The 16,619-nt window shown below is 60.7% G+C and overlaps 1 protein-coding gene across 1 annotated transcript in view; it reads right to left on the bottom strand.

The window, feature by feature from the left end:
• Positions 1-16,619, bottom strand: part of PLXNA1 (plexin A1) — a 54,275-nt gene that overhangs the window by 5,096 nt on the left and 32,560 nt on the right. The window contains exons 16-29 of the mRNA NM_032242.4: positions 15,610-15,777; positions 15,257-15,350; positions 14,630-14,869; positions 14,402-14,545; positions 13,766-14,000; positions 11,950-12,092; positions 9,953-10,209; positions 9,476-9,542; positions 4,208-4,354; positions 3,954-4,113; positions 3,198-3,301; positions 2,758-2,854; positions 2,230-2,420; positions 1,882-2,051 (exon numbers count right to left, since the gene is read on the bottom strand). Coding sequence (NP_115618.3) covers positions 1,882-2,051; positions 2,230-2,420; positions 2,758-2,854; positions 3,198-3,301; positions 3,954-4,113; positions 4,208-4,354; positions 9,476-9,542; positions 9,953-10,209; positions 11,950-12,092; positions 13,766-14,000; positions 14,402-14,545; positions 14,630-14,869; positions 15,257-15,350; positions 15,610-15,777 — 2,217 coding nt within the window. The remainder of the gene's footprint in view (positions 1-1,881; positions 2,052-2,229; positions 2,421-2,757; positions 2,855-3,197; positions 3,302-3,953; positions 4,114-4,207; positions 4,355-9,475; positions 9,543-9,952; positions 10,210-11,949; positions 12,093-13,765; positions 14,001-14,401; positions 14,546-14,629; positions 14,870-15,256; positions 15,351-15,609; positions 15,778-16,619) is intronic.

Below are 16,619 nucleotides of genomic sequence, written 5' to 3'. Positions count from 1 at the left end.
CATGGCTTTCCATGCAGACGGGGAAACGAGGCCCACAGAGGTGCAGGGCCCATGGTTAAGTGAAGGCCGTCCCCTGCCACCCAACCAGAGATGTGCTGCCCCCACCACCTGCATCTCACGCAGAGCATCATGAGATAGGCGTGCTCAAACGCACTCGTTTGCACAAGGGCAAGATGTGACCAGGCCCTCAGGGGCCCACTCCACACAGCCACCACCCTCCTAGGCCTGCATGCTGGCTTGCACTCATGGCTCCTGCACTGAGACCTGCAGCTCAGCTCCGGCCCAGGGGACCCATTCCTGCAGAGACCAGCCCTCTGTGCCCCAAACACCACCTCAGGGACTGCCATTAGCTGGGCTGCCTGGCAGCACTGGCCACACGTGGCTGCTTAACTTAAATGAAGTGAAGAGCCCAGACACTCAGCCACACCAGTGCCATTTCAAAGGCTCAGGAGCCACCACCCTGGACAGCACGGGTCTAGAATGTTCCACTGTGACAGAACATTCTCCAAGAACATGCTGACCTGGAGACACTGCGTCCCTGGAGGCCCCACCTCCCGCTGTGCCCAATCAGCATGGCCCAGGAGAGGGGCTTCGTGACACTTCATTTAAATCCTAGACTCCGCGAGCAGTGGGCGGAGCTGGGACAGGTTGGGGTGGCTGCATCCCAGGTTTGGGAAGCAACACATGGGATGGACAAGACCAAGTCGGGGGTGGCTGCTGGCCCGGGAGCCAGCAGAAGTGGCAGGGACAGTCCAGGAGAGAGGGGAGCTAAGACAGTGGAGAGTGTGCACAGAACTGGGGGGAGACCCCAGCAGGATGCACGGTGAGGAGGGGCACTTCCTGGTGAAGCAGGGTCCAGCCATACAGGCAAGGGCATCCACCTGACCCCAGGTGTGGGGGAGCAGTCCTACCCCAGAAGCCCTCGGCCATGCAGGTAGAGGGGCCTGGTGCACAGAGAGGGGCTCCCCTGTAGCAGGCAATGGTGGGGTTGTCTGCTGGGGTGGGGGCCACACACACAGCAGGGACCCGCTCCAGGGGCTAGGGTGTGGCTACAGTGTGCCAACCGGAGCAGGGGGCCACAGACCAGAGCTTGGGGGTCCTGAGTAAGGAGTGAGGCCAAGGGCTGGCCTGCCTGTGTGGCAGAGAGGAAGCCAACATTGCTGAGTTGGGCAGTCCATGACCAGGGAAGAAGCAGGTCACTGTCCCAGGGGTGGGCCAGGCCGGAGGAAAGCAAGGGACTGGCTGGCCAGGGAGGCAGATACTCTGGAGGGAGGCCACTCAGAGGCTGGGTGCCTCTTCATAACAAAACCCAGCCTCATAGAGCCCCAGCTCACATTGGTGTAGCTGTGCACGGTGCAGGCTGGGCAGGCCCTGCTCCGTACTCCAGCTGCTCCGTGAGACCGTGGCAAGTGGCTCGGCCTCTGCGCCTCAGTAAGCAGGCTCTGGCCTGGCCCCACACTGCAATGGGGAGGCTGTAAATTCCTCGCACTAAAGACTACCAGGAGTACCTGCAGTCCCTGTTGCCCTCATCACTGCAACCAGCCGGCTTGGGGCTGGTCCACTGTGCCCTGTTTCTCACGCTGCAGCCCACACTCATGTCCGCACAGCTGTGCACACCCAGAGCCACTCACACCTGCACACAGTTCCTGCAGCAGTGGGAGGGGCTCAGCGGCTGGAGCAGAGGGCGAGCCGTGGGTCAAGGGGCACAGGCAGATAGGGAAGGCCAGTTAGCACAGGACTGGCCCGCCATGCCCCTGCTGGGTTGTGTCCCCACGCCAGGGAGCCCCAAGTGGGGGCTCCGGATCAGAACAGGGCGAGGGCCCTGGGAACACATCTGGCCTGGCCCTGGGGGATGCCCCTCCTCCCCCTGCCCTGCATTACCAGTTGCTCTTCCAGGTGTGGCGCACGTCAGCATCGTGGATCTGGTGCTTGTCGGCCTGCTCATCCAGGAAGTCGAACATGTACTTGATGGCCAGCGGCAGGGCTGAGCCCCGGTGTGCCGTGCTGAAGATGGTCTCAAACAGGTCGTCCACAAACTTCTGCAGTGTGCCCTGCGGGGGGCAGGCAGGGACACTGAGCCCCAGGGCGCTGCCTGGCTGCCTACACCTCCTGGGTGACTAGGCAAGTGGCCATGGGAGCATGGGGGTGAGGCCCTTGCTCTGGGCTTGGCACTTTCTCTGAGCTCAGTTGGCCCAGCGTCCCCTGCCCCCATCTGCCAGCCAGGCCCACCTTGGTGGCCAGTAGCCGTGTCAAGTAGATCTCCGAGACCATCTTGCTGCCGCGGTCACCCTCACGCTGGTCCAGGTGGTCGTGGTTCTTCACCAGGTGCCACAGCTTGGTGCCGCTCTCCAGGTCGGGCGTGATCATGGGCGTGCGCGAGCGCAGGCTGTCGGGGCTGCTGGCCGTGCGCAGCATGCTCTCTGCAGCACCAGGCTGTCAGCGCCCGCGTTGGCTGGCACCCCGCACCCCCCGCCCGAGCCTGTTTCCCCATCTGAAAGCTGGGGATGGCACCCCCACCCATGTGGGATTTTGGGGCAGCCGATGACACCACAGAGGTGGCATAATTGTGTACGGACACACAGTCGCGAGGAGGCGCAGCCTCCAGAGCTGGAGGGTAAGGCCAAGAGTGCGAGTGACAGGCTTGACACCTGCCCCTGGGTCCTCCCGTCCGGCTGCTGCAGCGTGGGAGCCCGGGGGACGTCCTGCCCAGGCCAGGGACCCATGCGCTGCCCTCTCGCCCGCTGCCTGGCCCCTCACCGTATCTGCTGAGGGACTTGGTGAAGGTGGAGGAGTTGGAGATGTTGTAGGCGGACGTCTGCTTGGGCACCAGTGCCACCGAGGACCCGTCTGTCACCTGTGGGCAGAGGGCCAGGGACCCTGTGACCCACCAGGGTGCCCCTGCACCACCAGGCTCCCACTCCCCGGCTGGGGACCCCGGTGACACCCTAGTGCTGTGCCTGGAGGCAGCCACCTCACTCAGTCTGGAACTCTATATCAGGACAGCCCAGGGATGCTAGGCAATCCCACAAGCCCAGCTCGAGTCCTGGGACGGTCCACACACATAAGTGACCACCTCCCCTCCTCTCCCTGACAGATCCAGCTGCTGTCCAGCCCACATGCTGCAAACATTGGTGGCTGCGCTGTGGAAGCCCCAAGGGGAGGGAGGCCTGTGCTAGGGTCGGAGGGCCGGGAGCCACCTGGTAGTGAGCCAGTGTGTTCAGCCTCTTCCAATCGTTGTCAATCTTGGTGGTGACGTCCTCGTCCTGCAGGATGATGCGCGCCATGCGGCCCTGGCGCCACTCTGGGGGAGGAGGGAGCTGGAGGGTGGGGCCGCTGGGGCCCTCTTTCCCTCCTCCATCACAGCAGTGTAGTGGGACGGGGCCTGCCTGCAGCTCTCAGCACCAGCACAGGGCAGGGACATACCTCCGCCCCTGCTGCAGCACACTTAACCTGCCATAGTCCCCTGCAATGTGCCACAGCCCTCCCAATCTGCCACAGCAGCCCCAGCCTAAGGGGGTCTGCCCTGCCTTCCGCAAGCCTTAGGGCCCCAACTCCTCAGCCTGGCACCGAGGCTTCTGTGGGGACCCAGCCTCTCCAGTCACATCTGCAGCAGGACTCCGGGCCCCACCCCAAACCCGTCCCATCCCCTCTGGCCCTCAATGGCTCCACCTGCCCCTCTCATGAGCCTGAGTATCCCCCTCAGGGCTCCAAGAGCCCACTGCCTCCCAGAGTGCACTGGAACCCACCACCTCCCAGAGTCTCTGCCCAGAGCAGGGCAGCCACCCTCTATACCCAACCTGGGACTGGACAGCCCACTCGCCATTCCACTGCCCTCCAGACCAGCCTGGTGTGGAGGACTGGCCTGGCCTTCCCCGCCAAGCTCAGTACTAGGCCATGGCCCTGCCCCTCTGCTCCAGCACACACCCCGGGCAGCCGTGGCCCCGCCCGCTCACCCAGGTCCATGTCCGCGGCCTTGGGCCGCTGGGAGTAGGGCACGCCCTTGTAGGCAGCGTCCAGCAGCTTCTCCTTGGCCTGGGTGACCGTGTCACAGTCCAGCCCCTTCACCGGCACCTCAGGTGCATTCTCATTCTCAGGGTTCACACAGTTCAGGGTCTGCGGGCGGGGTGGAGCAAGGGGGCAGCGTCAGCCCCACAACTGGGGGGTGGGGGGCACCAGGGCACCCAGGACAGAGGGCAGCCACGCTCACCAGTGTCTTGTAGTCAATCTGCTGCCGGATGAGCTTGTCCTCACTCAGGGAGTAGCGTGCCTCACCCGTGATGGCGTCAATGGGGCCCTTCTCCATCTGCTGCTTGATGGCGCAGTACAGCATGAACAGCGGCTCCCCAGCGCACTCCTGCGGGGGTGGCGGCATGAGGCTGCAGCCAGGACCCCCGGGCCTACCCCCAACCTGCCCCTCCACCCGTCGAGTGCCAGCCATGGTGTTCCTGGCAAGGAGAAATGAGCAGCACTTCCCAACTCTTTGGGAGGCAAGTACAGCCTTAGTCCCAAAGCCCAGCAGAGACTGCAAGAAAATCAGGAAACAAAACATACCCACCATCCCACAAATATCACATGAAAACCCTAAATTACACATGAGCCAGGAGGCGCAGTAGTGTATCGAGGAACATGGCGTGGCACGCGGGACCTGCATCAGGGAGGGCCGAGGCCTATTTCACCCAGAAGTCTCCCCTGGTCTCAGCAGGATCCCCGCCTAGCTCCAGCCTCCCAGGGGCCTGCTCCCCAGCTGGAGGTGCTCAGGACAAAGCTCCCCATGGCCCACCGCCCATGGCACAAGCGGACCCCATACTACGCAACTCCAAGTGTGACTGTGATCCACTGGCCTCCTAGGGACCACCCAGCTGGGCCCCCATATTACTCTGGGACACAACTATGGTGTGTCATGGATACTGACATACCCACCTGAGGAGGCTTGCCCACCCAGGGAGGTTCACCAGCACCCAAGCACACAGCACAGGGCCAGCAGCACAGCCCCGGGCCCTCAGCGGGCACCTGACCCCTCACCCTCCGGCTCCCCGCGCTGTAGCATGAGAACCGCCTCCTGTCCCACCTCAGGGCCTTTGCAACTGCTGCCTCTACAACCAGAAATTTCCCCTGGCATCTTCATGGGCCCTTGTGGACCCAACCCAATGTGCCCTCTTCAGAAAGGCTCCTGGGGAGCGCCCAGCACACGTACCCCCGACCACTGCCTCGCTGAGTCTCCCCGCCATCTGTCGTTCTCTGAAGGATCCTGTGCACCCCTGGCAACCCCTCTGGAGTGGGAGCTGCCTGGCCTGCTCACTATACCCTACTGCTAGCACTGGCTGAGCCTGTGCATGGGGCATCACAGACACTTGCTGGATGAATTGAGTGAATGGAGAGCTGTCCCTGGGAAACGTTCACGTCTGGGCTGGGTGAGTTGGCCACACAGGCGAGGCCCGCCCAGAGCCTGGGCATGGGGTCCACTGTAGGTCCTGCCTGCCCAAGGGCCTTCAGGTGTGTGTACACCTCAATGGAGGGGCAGGTTTGGCAGCCCTGCCTCCTACCCGGCCCTGGCAAACAAACAGCAGCTCTGCTCCTGTAACCAGAGGCTCCAGGCACCTCGTTAGCATCTGCGGTAATTAGAGAGACAGCTGTTAAGACCATCCCAGACCTTCCAACAACATGTCTGTCTATGAAATTATGTTTCATTTGCAAACTTGGTTTCATTAAGTTAGCCACGAAGGAGGAGGAAAAGGGGTGCAGATCCGGATGGAGAGCCATTAATGTGACAGGAAGCCTTTGAGGGTTTCCCAAAGTCAGACACCTGTCCGAGGGTTCCCAGGCCTGGCCTCAGAGAGTGAAAGGACGGCAGCTAGTCTCTGAAGGTCAGGGCAGTGCAGATATTGGCCCAAGGTCACACAGCAAGAAACTGGAGAAGCCAAGATCTGAACCCAGATCCAGCTGACCCCAAAGCACCTGCCCCATACAAGCCAGGTGTACCCAGAGAAGGCTCAGGCTGAGCCGGGCATTCACACTCAACCCAGGCAGCAGGCCCCGCCCCACTCCACCCACTTCTTCAGCCAGGCCAGCCTAGAGGCTGCAAAGGAGGTTCCAAGAGCTCAGAGGCCAGGGAAGAGGAAGGCCCAGTCCTTTTCTTGTCGCAGCCTCAATCTCTCGTGCAGTGACGGGGAAAAGGAAGACCTCAGACTCCTCCCAGCCCCACTCAGGAATGTGCAAAAACTGCCCAACAAAAAGTGCCACTTTTCAAATAGAAGGATAATATGGGCAGTTCAATAAATGACATTACGACAAGCACTTCTCCATCCTCCCTTCCAGGTTGTTTACATGTGCTAAAATGGCATGGGTTCCTTTTCTAGTTAAAGTTTTTGTTTCTAAAGACAGCAAGGAATGAAAAGGATTTGGGTTGTTTAAAAAGAGTTTGTGTTCTCAAAGTTCATCCATGTTGCAGCATGTCAGAATTTCCTTCCTTTCTAAGGCAGACTACTATCTCATTGTATGCACAGACCACATTTTGCTTATTCATTCATCTGTCGATGGACACCTGGATTGCTTCCCCATTAAGCTGATGAAATTAAGCCAGCCACGAAAGGACAAACAATGCATGATTCCACTCATATGAGGTCCCTAGAGCTGTCAGATTCACAGAGACAGAGAGTAGAATGGTTCCAGGGGCTGGGGAGGAAGGAACAAGGAGTGGGTGTTCAATGGGGACAGAGTTTCAGTTTCACAAGATGAAGAGTCATGGAGCAGGTGGCCATGGCCAACACCGCTGTAAATGCATCCAATACCACTCAACTGTGCACTTAAAAATGGTTAAGATGGTAAATTTTATGTCATGTGTATTTCACCATAACAAATTTTTTTAAGTTTGTGGCACACTACAAAGAAATGAGCAACAAGCTATGAAAATAAATAAAGGAACCTTCAAAATAGATTACGAAGTGAAGGGAGCCAGTTTGAAAAGGCTACGGTAACAGTGCACGATTCCACTACATGACATCTGGAAAAGGCATAACTTATGGAGACAATGAGATCAACGGGTGCCAAGGGCTCAGGGGGAGGGAGAGATGACAAGTGAGCTCAGGGGATTTTTAGGGCAGCGACACTATTCTGTGTGACACTATAACGGTGGATACATGGCATCCTACGTTCATCCAAACTCACAGAATGCAGAGCACCAAGAGTGAGCCCGCACAGAAACGAGGGGCACTGGGTGGTGAAGATGTCTCCTGGCAGGTTCACTGACTGGACCAAATGCACCCCTCTCCTAGGGATGCTGACAGTGGGGAGACTGTGCATGTGTGGGAGCAGCGGGCGCATGGGAAACCTCTGTACCTTCTGTTCAATTTTACTATGAATCTGGAACTGCTCTAAACAATAACATCTATCTTAAAAAAGACAAAAACAAAAAAACCCCAGATATGGTGGCAAAAACAAAAAGTCACTGGCCAGTTATGTGGATGGAAACAGCCCTAGGCCCATCTCAGTCCCATCCAGGGGGCGCCCAGCTCCAGCATGTCTGTCTGCGCCTCTCAGCCTCAGGCCATGTCCTTGCGCCCAGTACGTGTCCTCCCTTGCATATATAGGGGTCCTCCTAGAACTGGAGGAGGGCAGTGATGACCTAAGGAGATCTAACAGCTCCTGGCCCCTGCCTGCCCCCGACACTGGTACCCCACTAACAACGAGGGTGGGCTGGGGTCATGGGCATGGGCTGTGAAGCCCCCAACACACAGCCCGCACCCCTTGTACCTGCACCACTCCCACCCAAATGGTCACCCCTGCCTCCCTCCTCCCTGTGTCCCCTTCCTATGGCTCCCTTGGCCAAGACTGGCCTCCCTCTCCCTCCCTCCACTGCCCACACATCCCTCAGCGCCTGTCCCAAATGTCCCCGGCTCTCCATGGAATGTCTGATCCGGCCTAAAGACAACCCCTCCACAGTGCCCCACTGCCACCCTCTCTGCTTATAATACCCTGTGGGGCCACACTCTGCGCTGGCTGAAGCTGGCCCCCTATATCCTGGCATGAAAGAGAATCCACACCCAACGTCGGTGCTTATAGGCATTTGCTGCCCTGAGCCCTGTCTCTGTGGGTGTGGAGAATCGGGATCAGACAGGGACTCAGGTTAGCGGTGCCCTCTCCACCTCACCCAGGACGCCTGCTGCTTTAGGCTCACAGAGCCCAGCTTACCCAGCATGCACACATACTATGCAGTCTTCATAGAACTGTACTTTCTACAGGACACGCACGACTTTGTGTTACCTGCTTCCAGTTCTGCCTAAGGATGTTATCATCTACTGGGCACTTACTAGGTGCCAGGGACTGCTATATACACATAAATGTCCCACCTCCAGAGACGACCCAGGACAGACAAGCCCAGCCCCTGCCTATCCCACCTGGGGCCTTCTCCCCAGTGGCCTCTTCTGCCTGGGACTCTCTTCCCTCCCCCCGCCTGGTCTTCAGACCTCTGCTCGAATCCCACCCTCCCTGCTCGGCCCTGCCCCATTGCCTGTCTGCTGTATTTCCCGTCCAGTGTCTCTCCCGGCAGCGAGGATGTCTGGCCAGGACTCCGCTCTGTGCAGGCATCTGTGCGCTGATCACCTGAGCTCAGCAGCATCTGGCTGCAGGAGGCCTGAAAGCCCCACGGCCCAGAGACAGAGGTGCCATCCCTGGATTCCATAAGGAAACCAGGAGAATCGAACCCAGGCAGTCAGTGCCAGCTCCCACCCTCGATCACTGGGCTACACTGTCAGTCACCCTCACCCACAGAGCAGCGACAGGGACCACTGAAGCCAGGCGAGGAGCATGCACTTCACCATGCACACACCGGGCTCCTCCCACCTCTCAGGAGTGGGCTAACCAGGCCTTCAGATTTCCAAGAGAAGCCAGATACCTGAGTCTGTAAAAGTCCCAACATCGAAAGTGCAGACAGCAATTCAACTGCTTACTGCCCAGATAAAGCCCACCCAGATCCCCATCCAGCCTGGGCCCTGGCCTGCAGTCTCTGGCCTACACCCTGTTCCTGTTCTGAGGACGGCAGCATCCTTCTGCTGGGGGGTGGGAGGGGCTTGAATGGACAGCACAGGGGAAGCCCAGTGCGGTCACCTGTCCCCATGACAGGTGGTGGACTGGAGCCTTCAGGCACCCCCAGGCTGGCCCCTCAGAGGCCCCTGCCCAGGGTGCCCCCACCCTCCTGAGCCCAGGCCAGCTGTGGGCACTGAGAGCCTGTATCCGAACTCCCACACCTACCTTGGTGGGCTGTGTGAGGGCCTGACAGCCTCAGAAGGAGGGAGGAGGGAGCCGGGAGCCAGGAGCTGAGAGCGGCTGCATGCCCAGGGGCCTTGGCCCAAGCCAGAACTCGACCAAGACCCCACCAGCTGTCATTCTCCAGCACCTCCCACTAATCCCCACCTCTCTCCGTTTTCCCCTCCCGCTGTTCACCTGCCTCTGACACCTGCTTCCTCCCGCCTCTGCTTACCTTGAGGAACTTATACAAGAGGAAGGTGAACCAGTTAGTTAGCATCTTCTCTGCCACCGACTCAGTCCTGGGGAGCACAGAATATGGGCAGAGTGGTGTCATTCCAGCTGTCCAGCAGGCACAGGGCCCCTGCAGGCCTCACTCACCGATCCCACCCCACCCTGCCCCCCTTCCTACAGCACCGAAGGTCAGGTCTCGAAAGGCACCCACATGAGTGGGCAGCAGGCGCTTCAGGGGCTGCCATGGAGACCCCAGTCCTTCGCCCAGAGCCCAGGCCTGTGTGTATGGAGACTCCAGCCTGGGTCCTCACTATCAGTACCTAGGGAGGTGGCAGCTGAGCCTCAGAGGCCAGGTGAGTCCTCCCACCCCTGCCCGGTGGGAACTGCCACAGCAACGTCTCTGGGCCTGCTAGACCAACCTGTCCAAAGCTGGAGGCATGGGCCTGCCTCCCCCAACCCCAGTGCCCCCCAGGCTCACCGGCGCAGTAGCAGCTTGGGGTGGTTCTTGCTCTCCAGGTTCTTCTCGATGAGGTCGGAAAGCAGCTGCTTGAGCACGCCTGTGGCGTATTCCATCTCGCCCTGCAGGGCCGTCATGATGAGCGAGGCCACATTCCCGCGGTCGCGCATGGAGAAGCTGCGCTGTGCCTCCAGCGTGCGGATGAAGGTCAGCAGGAAGTGCTTCTTGGTCAGCAGCTGCCCGAACAGTGTCAGCGACTTCTCCACATTGGCCTGCACCTGAGGGAGCACACAGAGCTCAGACCACAGAGAAGCACCCAGCCCCAGCCCCCAAGCTGACCAGTGAGGGGCTGTCCAGGCCTGGCTGGTGAGGCAGGGCCCCATCAGAGGACAGGCCTGGAAGGCAAGTGACAAGTTGCCCTGACTCCTCAGCTCGGCGGGTCATTCCCAAGCTTCACCTGTCCTTAGCAAAATGGACACGACCTGGGTGCTGCCACCACTGCCTGTTGCCATCAGGGCAGCCTTGGCCACAGAGTCCCTGTGGCAGCCTGAGAAGCCCCTGCAAGCCGACATGACAAAGGTGTTACGAGTGCGGCTGGGTGCAGAATGAGAGGGGCTGCTCACGCCACCCTCTCCGTGACTGGGCCCTTTGAACAGCAACCCCTGCAGCGGGCCTGCAGCAGCTCAAAGGAAGTCCAACTCAATGCCCCCATCCACTGGGTACCAGGAGTGCATGTCTACCATCTCCCTCCGCCTTGACAATGATAACCAATGCACGACCAGTCTCTGCATCTCATGGATGAGGACACAAGGTTGGAGACAGGAAGAGGTTTGATTAGGGCCACACTGCAGGTAGGAAAAAGGAGTGGAGTAGAGGCATAGCTGGCTCCAGGGTCCCTACTCTCTCTCTCTTGTTCATACTAAGGTTTATCAGGGCAATATGTTCCCTATTAGGCAGAGCCCAGAGGCCACCAGTGATACCAGGCTCCCAGCCAAGGCCAACAGGTATCAGGCAGACAGGTAATGGCCCAGGCAGAACATACACAGTCACAGCTGAGAGAGACAGTGTGACAGACACAGCAAATGGAGGCACTGAAAGAGAGATACAACCTGGGGAGGCTGTGTAGCCCCGTGTGGCAGCAAGCCCAGGAACAGGATGGCAGCACTCAGCCACAGGCAGCCCAGGGCCCAAGGCGGGAAGGTCTGCTCAGTATCAGCTCAAAAGGGACTTCCCACCAACAGAGTCACCACAAGGGACATGGGCTCCCCAACATCCAAGGCACACGGTTGGGGGGTGCCCTCAGCTGGAGAGTGTGACTGAGCTAACCTGCCGAGCCCCTGGCCGTGGCTCGCCAAGGACTGGCTCCTAGCCTGCCTGCCGCTGGGGGCCTTTTAGGGGTGTGGGAGCCAGCCCTCTTTTCCCTCGCCAGGCTCGCTGCCAAGGTCTACGGGGCAAAGCCCTACTCTCTGAGACCCTGGTGCTATGCCAGCCACATGCTCCCCTCCCAAACCGCCATAGCAGACTTCATCAGGCACCCGCACCTCCCAGCACACGGCCCCTGCCCAGCGAGGCTTCGCATCCAGAGCCACCCAGGAGACCAGGCCAGTGGAGCCGCAGGCGGGACCCCCAACAGAGGCAGGGCCCAAGGGGCAGCCACCGGGGAGGTGCCAGAAGCCCAGGCTGACAAGTGGTTTGCTGGGATGAGGCCTGGCATCCCACGGAGGCCCTGGGGCCAGAGCCTCCTCCTGCCCTCTGGAGGTACTTTATGGAGCAGAGCCGTGCTGGCCATTCCCCTGCCCCAACCCCAGGGCTCAGGGCTCCACTGTGCTTGCCTGGTCTTGGTTCTGCCTCCCAGCACCTGCTCCCCACTTGGCTGAGCCCAGAGCCCTGCAGGCCTGGACCCTCCCCCAGGCCACACAGGCTGCCCCATACCATCCATCAGCACCCAAGGAGCCTCAAAGGCAGAAGATAGCAGCTGCCTCTGAGTTCCTGTGACCCCCCGGAGCCAGTGGTCCTACCTCCATCTCCTTGAGCACAGGGTGGTCCTCGATCCCAGGAAAGAGCACCCGCATGGCATATGTCCGGTAGTCAAGGAAGGGGATGCCGGCACCGTCCAGGTCATTGGTCAGCTCGTGGATGTCTGTCTGCAGCTCTGCAAAGGCTGTGGCCAGATGCGGCGTCAGGGGCAGCATGCCCTGGTGGCCCCGCTCCATGCCCCAACCCTCCCACTCTTGGGGCCTACATCAAATCCTGGCTCTGACACTTACTGGTTTCGTGATCTTAAGGAAACTACTGTGCCTCTTCGTCCCCCAGCTACTACAGCCCTAGCACAGGGATAGTAACTCTCCTCTGCAAGGTTCCCACAGGATCAAGCAAGACAAGGGCAGAGAAAGCATCAGCACCAGGGGCAGGCTGGGCAGGGCCTCCTGCATCTCAGACACTGGCAGTTAAGCGTAGAGCAGCTTTGGAGTTCGGGCTCCTTCCACCCGCTGTGAGGTGGTGGAGTGCGGCCAGGGGTGAGGTCCCAGGGCTGCAGGCTGTCCCCAAGCCCCCACACCATTGCATGCACATCTCGGGCCTGGTGCACCCTCAACATGGCCCACCCTGCTCAGGGCCAGCTCTGCCTCTGTCAGGAACAAAGGCAGGCAGGCCCTGACAGAACATTCCAGAGCTGTGAGGTGTCAGTCCTGTGGCAGCCCGAGGATCAGGCTATCTGATCAGAAGCCAAAGGAGTGCCAGGCAGGCTCTGGGGGACATCTGACAGGTTTAATTAAGAGCTGGAGTCTTCGTCTCCTGGGCATCGCTGCCAGGCGTCTAGTTATCTGCACCTGGCTGGCCTGGAGCAGCCACCAGCCACTGCATCCACACACGCCAGCCTCGCCAGACAGCCAGCCTCAGCAGGCGGGAGCACAAGGGAGGTCCAGGCCACCTGCCTCCCACCTGGCCCCAACACACACCTGCCTCCAGTCCCACCAGGGCTGCCCAAGAGGTAGGGTGACCCTCAGCCCACCACAGGGCCACTTAGGTTTGTCTGGGACTGAGAGGGCTCCCAGGATGCAGAACTTTGCATTTTAAGACTGGCTGAGTCCTGTGCAAACAAAACACCCCATCCCAGTTGAGTCCCAGTGGAATTCATGACAACCCCATGCTGGACCACATGGCTAAGGTCCTACACTGCAGCAGGAACACTCCTAGTATCTGCCCCCTAGAGCCCTGAACATGTGTGAGTTACTATCTGCAAACGCTCAAAGTCTCGCCCGGCATGGAACAGATTTCTGCCACTCACACCTGCCCTGATCAGGAGCATGGTGTGGCATGACTCCCCCTATAGACATCTCAAGGACAAAGGTCAGCTCAGGCCAAGATCTCTATGTGCCCAGGGACTGCCAAAGCGCAAGGGCTCCCCATTGCTGCATGGTGGAAGCACCCCTCTCTGCTGCTCCGCTGGCACCAGCCAACCCACCACGACTCCCAGCACCCAGGGAAAGTAGGCACTGTCATTGTGCCCACTCTAGAGACGACAAGACTGAGCCACAGAAGGGTAAGTAGCCACCTTCAGCCTTATAGCCCAGCTGGGATACAAATGCAAACAGTCTGGCTTTGGGTTCTGTGTCGCAAGCAGCACCCCAAGGAGGTGGTACCTGCTGCAGGGCCAGGCCCTGGTCAGGCACCCGCCCACTGCCCTGGGACCAGCTCTGGCACAGCAAGGCTATCAGGAACATTGTAAACTGAGCTGAAGCAGGGTGGGGGCGGCGGTGGGAAGTAGGTGTGGGGACAGGCCAGGGCCTGGCTCGGAGGTGGCAGTTGCCCCAGTGAGCCCTGGCCCCAACAGACCTTCCTTGCATTCGAGGGCCACGCGGGACTCCAGGTTGTCCATCTGGAGCTGCAGCCGCTTGAGTGTGCGGTCAGCATCTCGTGACTTGCGCTTGTAGGCGATGAGCACAGCCACGATGACCAGCAGCAGGAGACCCCCGCCTCCGCCAATGCCCACAATGGCAGGCAGCGTCAGCAGGCTGTCCGAGTACACCTGCAGTGTCCCTGGCGAGAACTCGAAGCCACCTGCCCGCACCTGCCAGTGGGTGGAGGCCACTCAGGAGCTTCCCATGCTTTCCACAAAGCTTGGGAGCCCCTCCCGATGGGCAAGACCCACCCCCAACACCTGCCTGTGGGAAAGGTCCCACCGACAGGGGCACAGAGTGGTCACCAGGGTGGAGACACTGGGACCCAGGGCAGGCGCCTGGCCAGCCAGGGCACCACTGGCATGGCAAGGGCTCAGGGTGGGTAGGCAGTCTCGGGGGGCTCAAGGAGGTGGCAGGCTGAAGGCTACGGCAGGGCCTGCACTGGAGCCGGGCGCCCTCTGAGCTAGGGGTGAGTCTCGGGCAAGGTCAGAGCTGGGGCTGTGCTAGTGGGGCAGGGTCCACAGGTGGGGCATGGCTCTCCCAGCTCTGCACCCCCGGTGGACAGACGCACCGTGACCTTGTGCTGCCCAGTGAGGTTGGGCGCCTCGCACAGCAGTTGCGTCTCCGACACGGTGAGGGTACAGGGTGTGGAGCCGATGAGCACCGTGTAGTTGAGTCGGGAGTTGCCGGGTGCAGGTGGCAAGAGGTTCCGGCCCTGTAGGAGATGGGGGTGAGCCAGAGCCCAGGACGAGGGGCCTCTTCCCTGGCTTGGCCCAGCCTACGGGCAATGGTGACCCACCTTGAGGATGAGTGGGGAGCTGGGCTTCAGCTCCAGCAGGCCAGTGGGGCTGAGTGGCTCCAGTACGGGGTCAGGGTAGTAGAGGAAGGAGGTGGAGTTGAGCACAAGCAGGGAGCGCACGTTGTCCATGACGAAGCCCAGCTCATCCGGCCGCTCCCCCAGCTCTGGTGGGCTGCGCACAGGGTTGGCCACAGACGGGGCGCGGCATACCATGGTGGTGTCATTGTACACCAGGCAGCCCTGGAGACACAGGGTGGGGATGCTGGGCGGGACCTCCGCGAGTGGCCCGGCAGCTCCCAGTGACAGAGCCCCTGGCCTGGGGGCTGCCTGCTCCCTGCACAGATGATGCCAGGCACTAGCAGGGCTGGTCCTGGGCCACCCACCCGACGTGGACCAGGGACATGTGGCCTGAAGGAGAGGTGTGTGCAGCCAGCAACCCAGAGCCAGACCTTCTACCCGCCAGGCAGGACAGGTGCCTCCCCAGGGGTCTCCAGGCACAGCCAAGGTTGGCATAAGCTGGGAAGGGGCAGGGGTAGGGGCAGGGGCAGGGACACGGGTATTCCTAGCAGGAGCCCCATCCCAGGTGAAGGCCTGGACCGAGGTGGGCAGCTGAGGGCAGGGACTCACGTTCTCCCTCTCAATGCCTCCATACTTGGCCCGGATTCGGGGTTCACGGACAGTGGCCAGGTTGGTGCCTGTGACCGTCAGGAGGGTCCCACCGCTGGAACAGGACAGGGGTGGGGGGGTCACCAAATGATGCTGGGGCCCAGTGAGCTGGAAACGTGGGCCACAGCTCAGCCAGGCAAAGCCTGCCTTCCCCAAAGACAGGAAACAGGTAAAAGCTCTTGGCAAGGGGTGCTTCCCGGCAGGATAGTACCCGGCATGCAGGAGGGCCACCGCCAAGTGCCCAGTGGAAGAGCTCCTGGCTCAGCGCTGCTCTCAATAGCTGGGGATAGGGAATGGGTGTTGCTGGGCCCCACCTGTTGATGCTCCACTCGGGGTCGATCCTCAGGATGGTGGGGTCCTCGGTGTAGTTGTACTTCACCTCAGGGTTGGTGAGCTGGGCGCGGTTGATGTTGATGATGATGGGAGCGCTGCCAGGGCTCTGCCCGGGGGGTGTCAGGCACCGGATCTCACGGGAGTTCCTCCTGGAGGTGCCCGAGTGGGACAGTGAGGAGCACACGGGTGGAACCCAGGCAGGTGGAATGCAGATGCATTGAGGGACGGTGGGAACAGCGCCATCTGTCACAGGTACTGCCTTGGGTGGCTGCATACTATCACCGCTACTTTCCCTCCCAGGGCTGTGCATGTCTGTCCTACCCTCGCCCTGGCTCCCAGCCCCTTCAGGCCCCCACTGTTGCCCAGCCTGGCATTTGGGACCCGGCCTGCCGCCTCTCCAGGTCTGCTTTCATCACAGCCTCCCTGTCGCCCACACCCACTCCTGGTGACCCTGGCCAGGGCTCCACACCCACCAGGCCTCTGCCTCCCCAGAGGCAGTAGGCAGCAGGCCCGTCCCACGCACGCCAGGCTGGGAGGTAGGCTCATGCTGCCCTCCCTCTGTCCCTGGGGAGGGCTGGCGAGACTAAGCCCTGGCGCGACCTTCCCTGCCTGTCTCAGGGCCAGCCTCACTCAGCCGGGGCTCCGAGTGCTGGGAGCCCAGCACCCACTCCTACTACCCTGGGCCAGGCAGACACCTTCCCTCTCGGCACCTGTCCCAGTGGGAATACCTCGCCCTATCCCCGCATCCCAGGGGGCTGTGAGGAGACTAGATGAGCTGGCCTGGGTGGGGGTCACGGGGACACCCCACTGGGCAGGCAGCCAGGCATAGCCCACACCTGGGTCCGGACCCTCAGTTCTTCCACCACTGCCAGGAGCCCCACAGCCACCAGGCCCCCTCAGCTGCAGACACCAATGATTAGTCTGATAACGGGTAATTACCATAGGAAAATATTTAAAGGGACATTCCATTATCATCCCTAATCTAAAATTA

The sequence above is a fragment of the Homo sapiens genome, chromosome 3 (assembly GCF_000001405.40).
Source record: "Homo sapiens chromosome 3, GRCh38.p14 Primary Assembly".
In the NCBI taxonomy this organism is placed as follows: Eukaryota; Metazoa; Chordata; class Mammalia; order Primates; family Hominidae; genus Homo; species Homo sapiens.
This window is presented reverse-complemented; position numbering and strand designations above follow the sequence as displayed.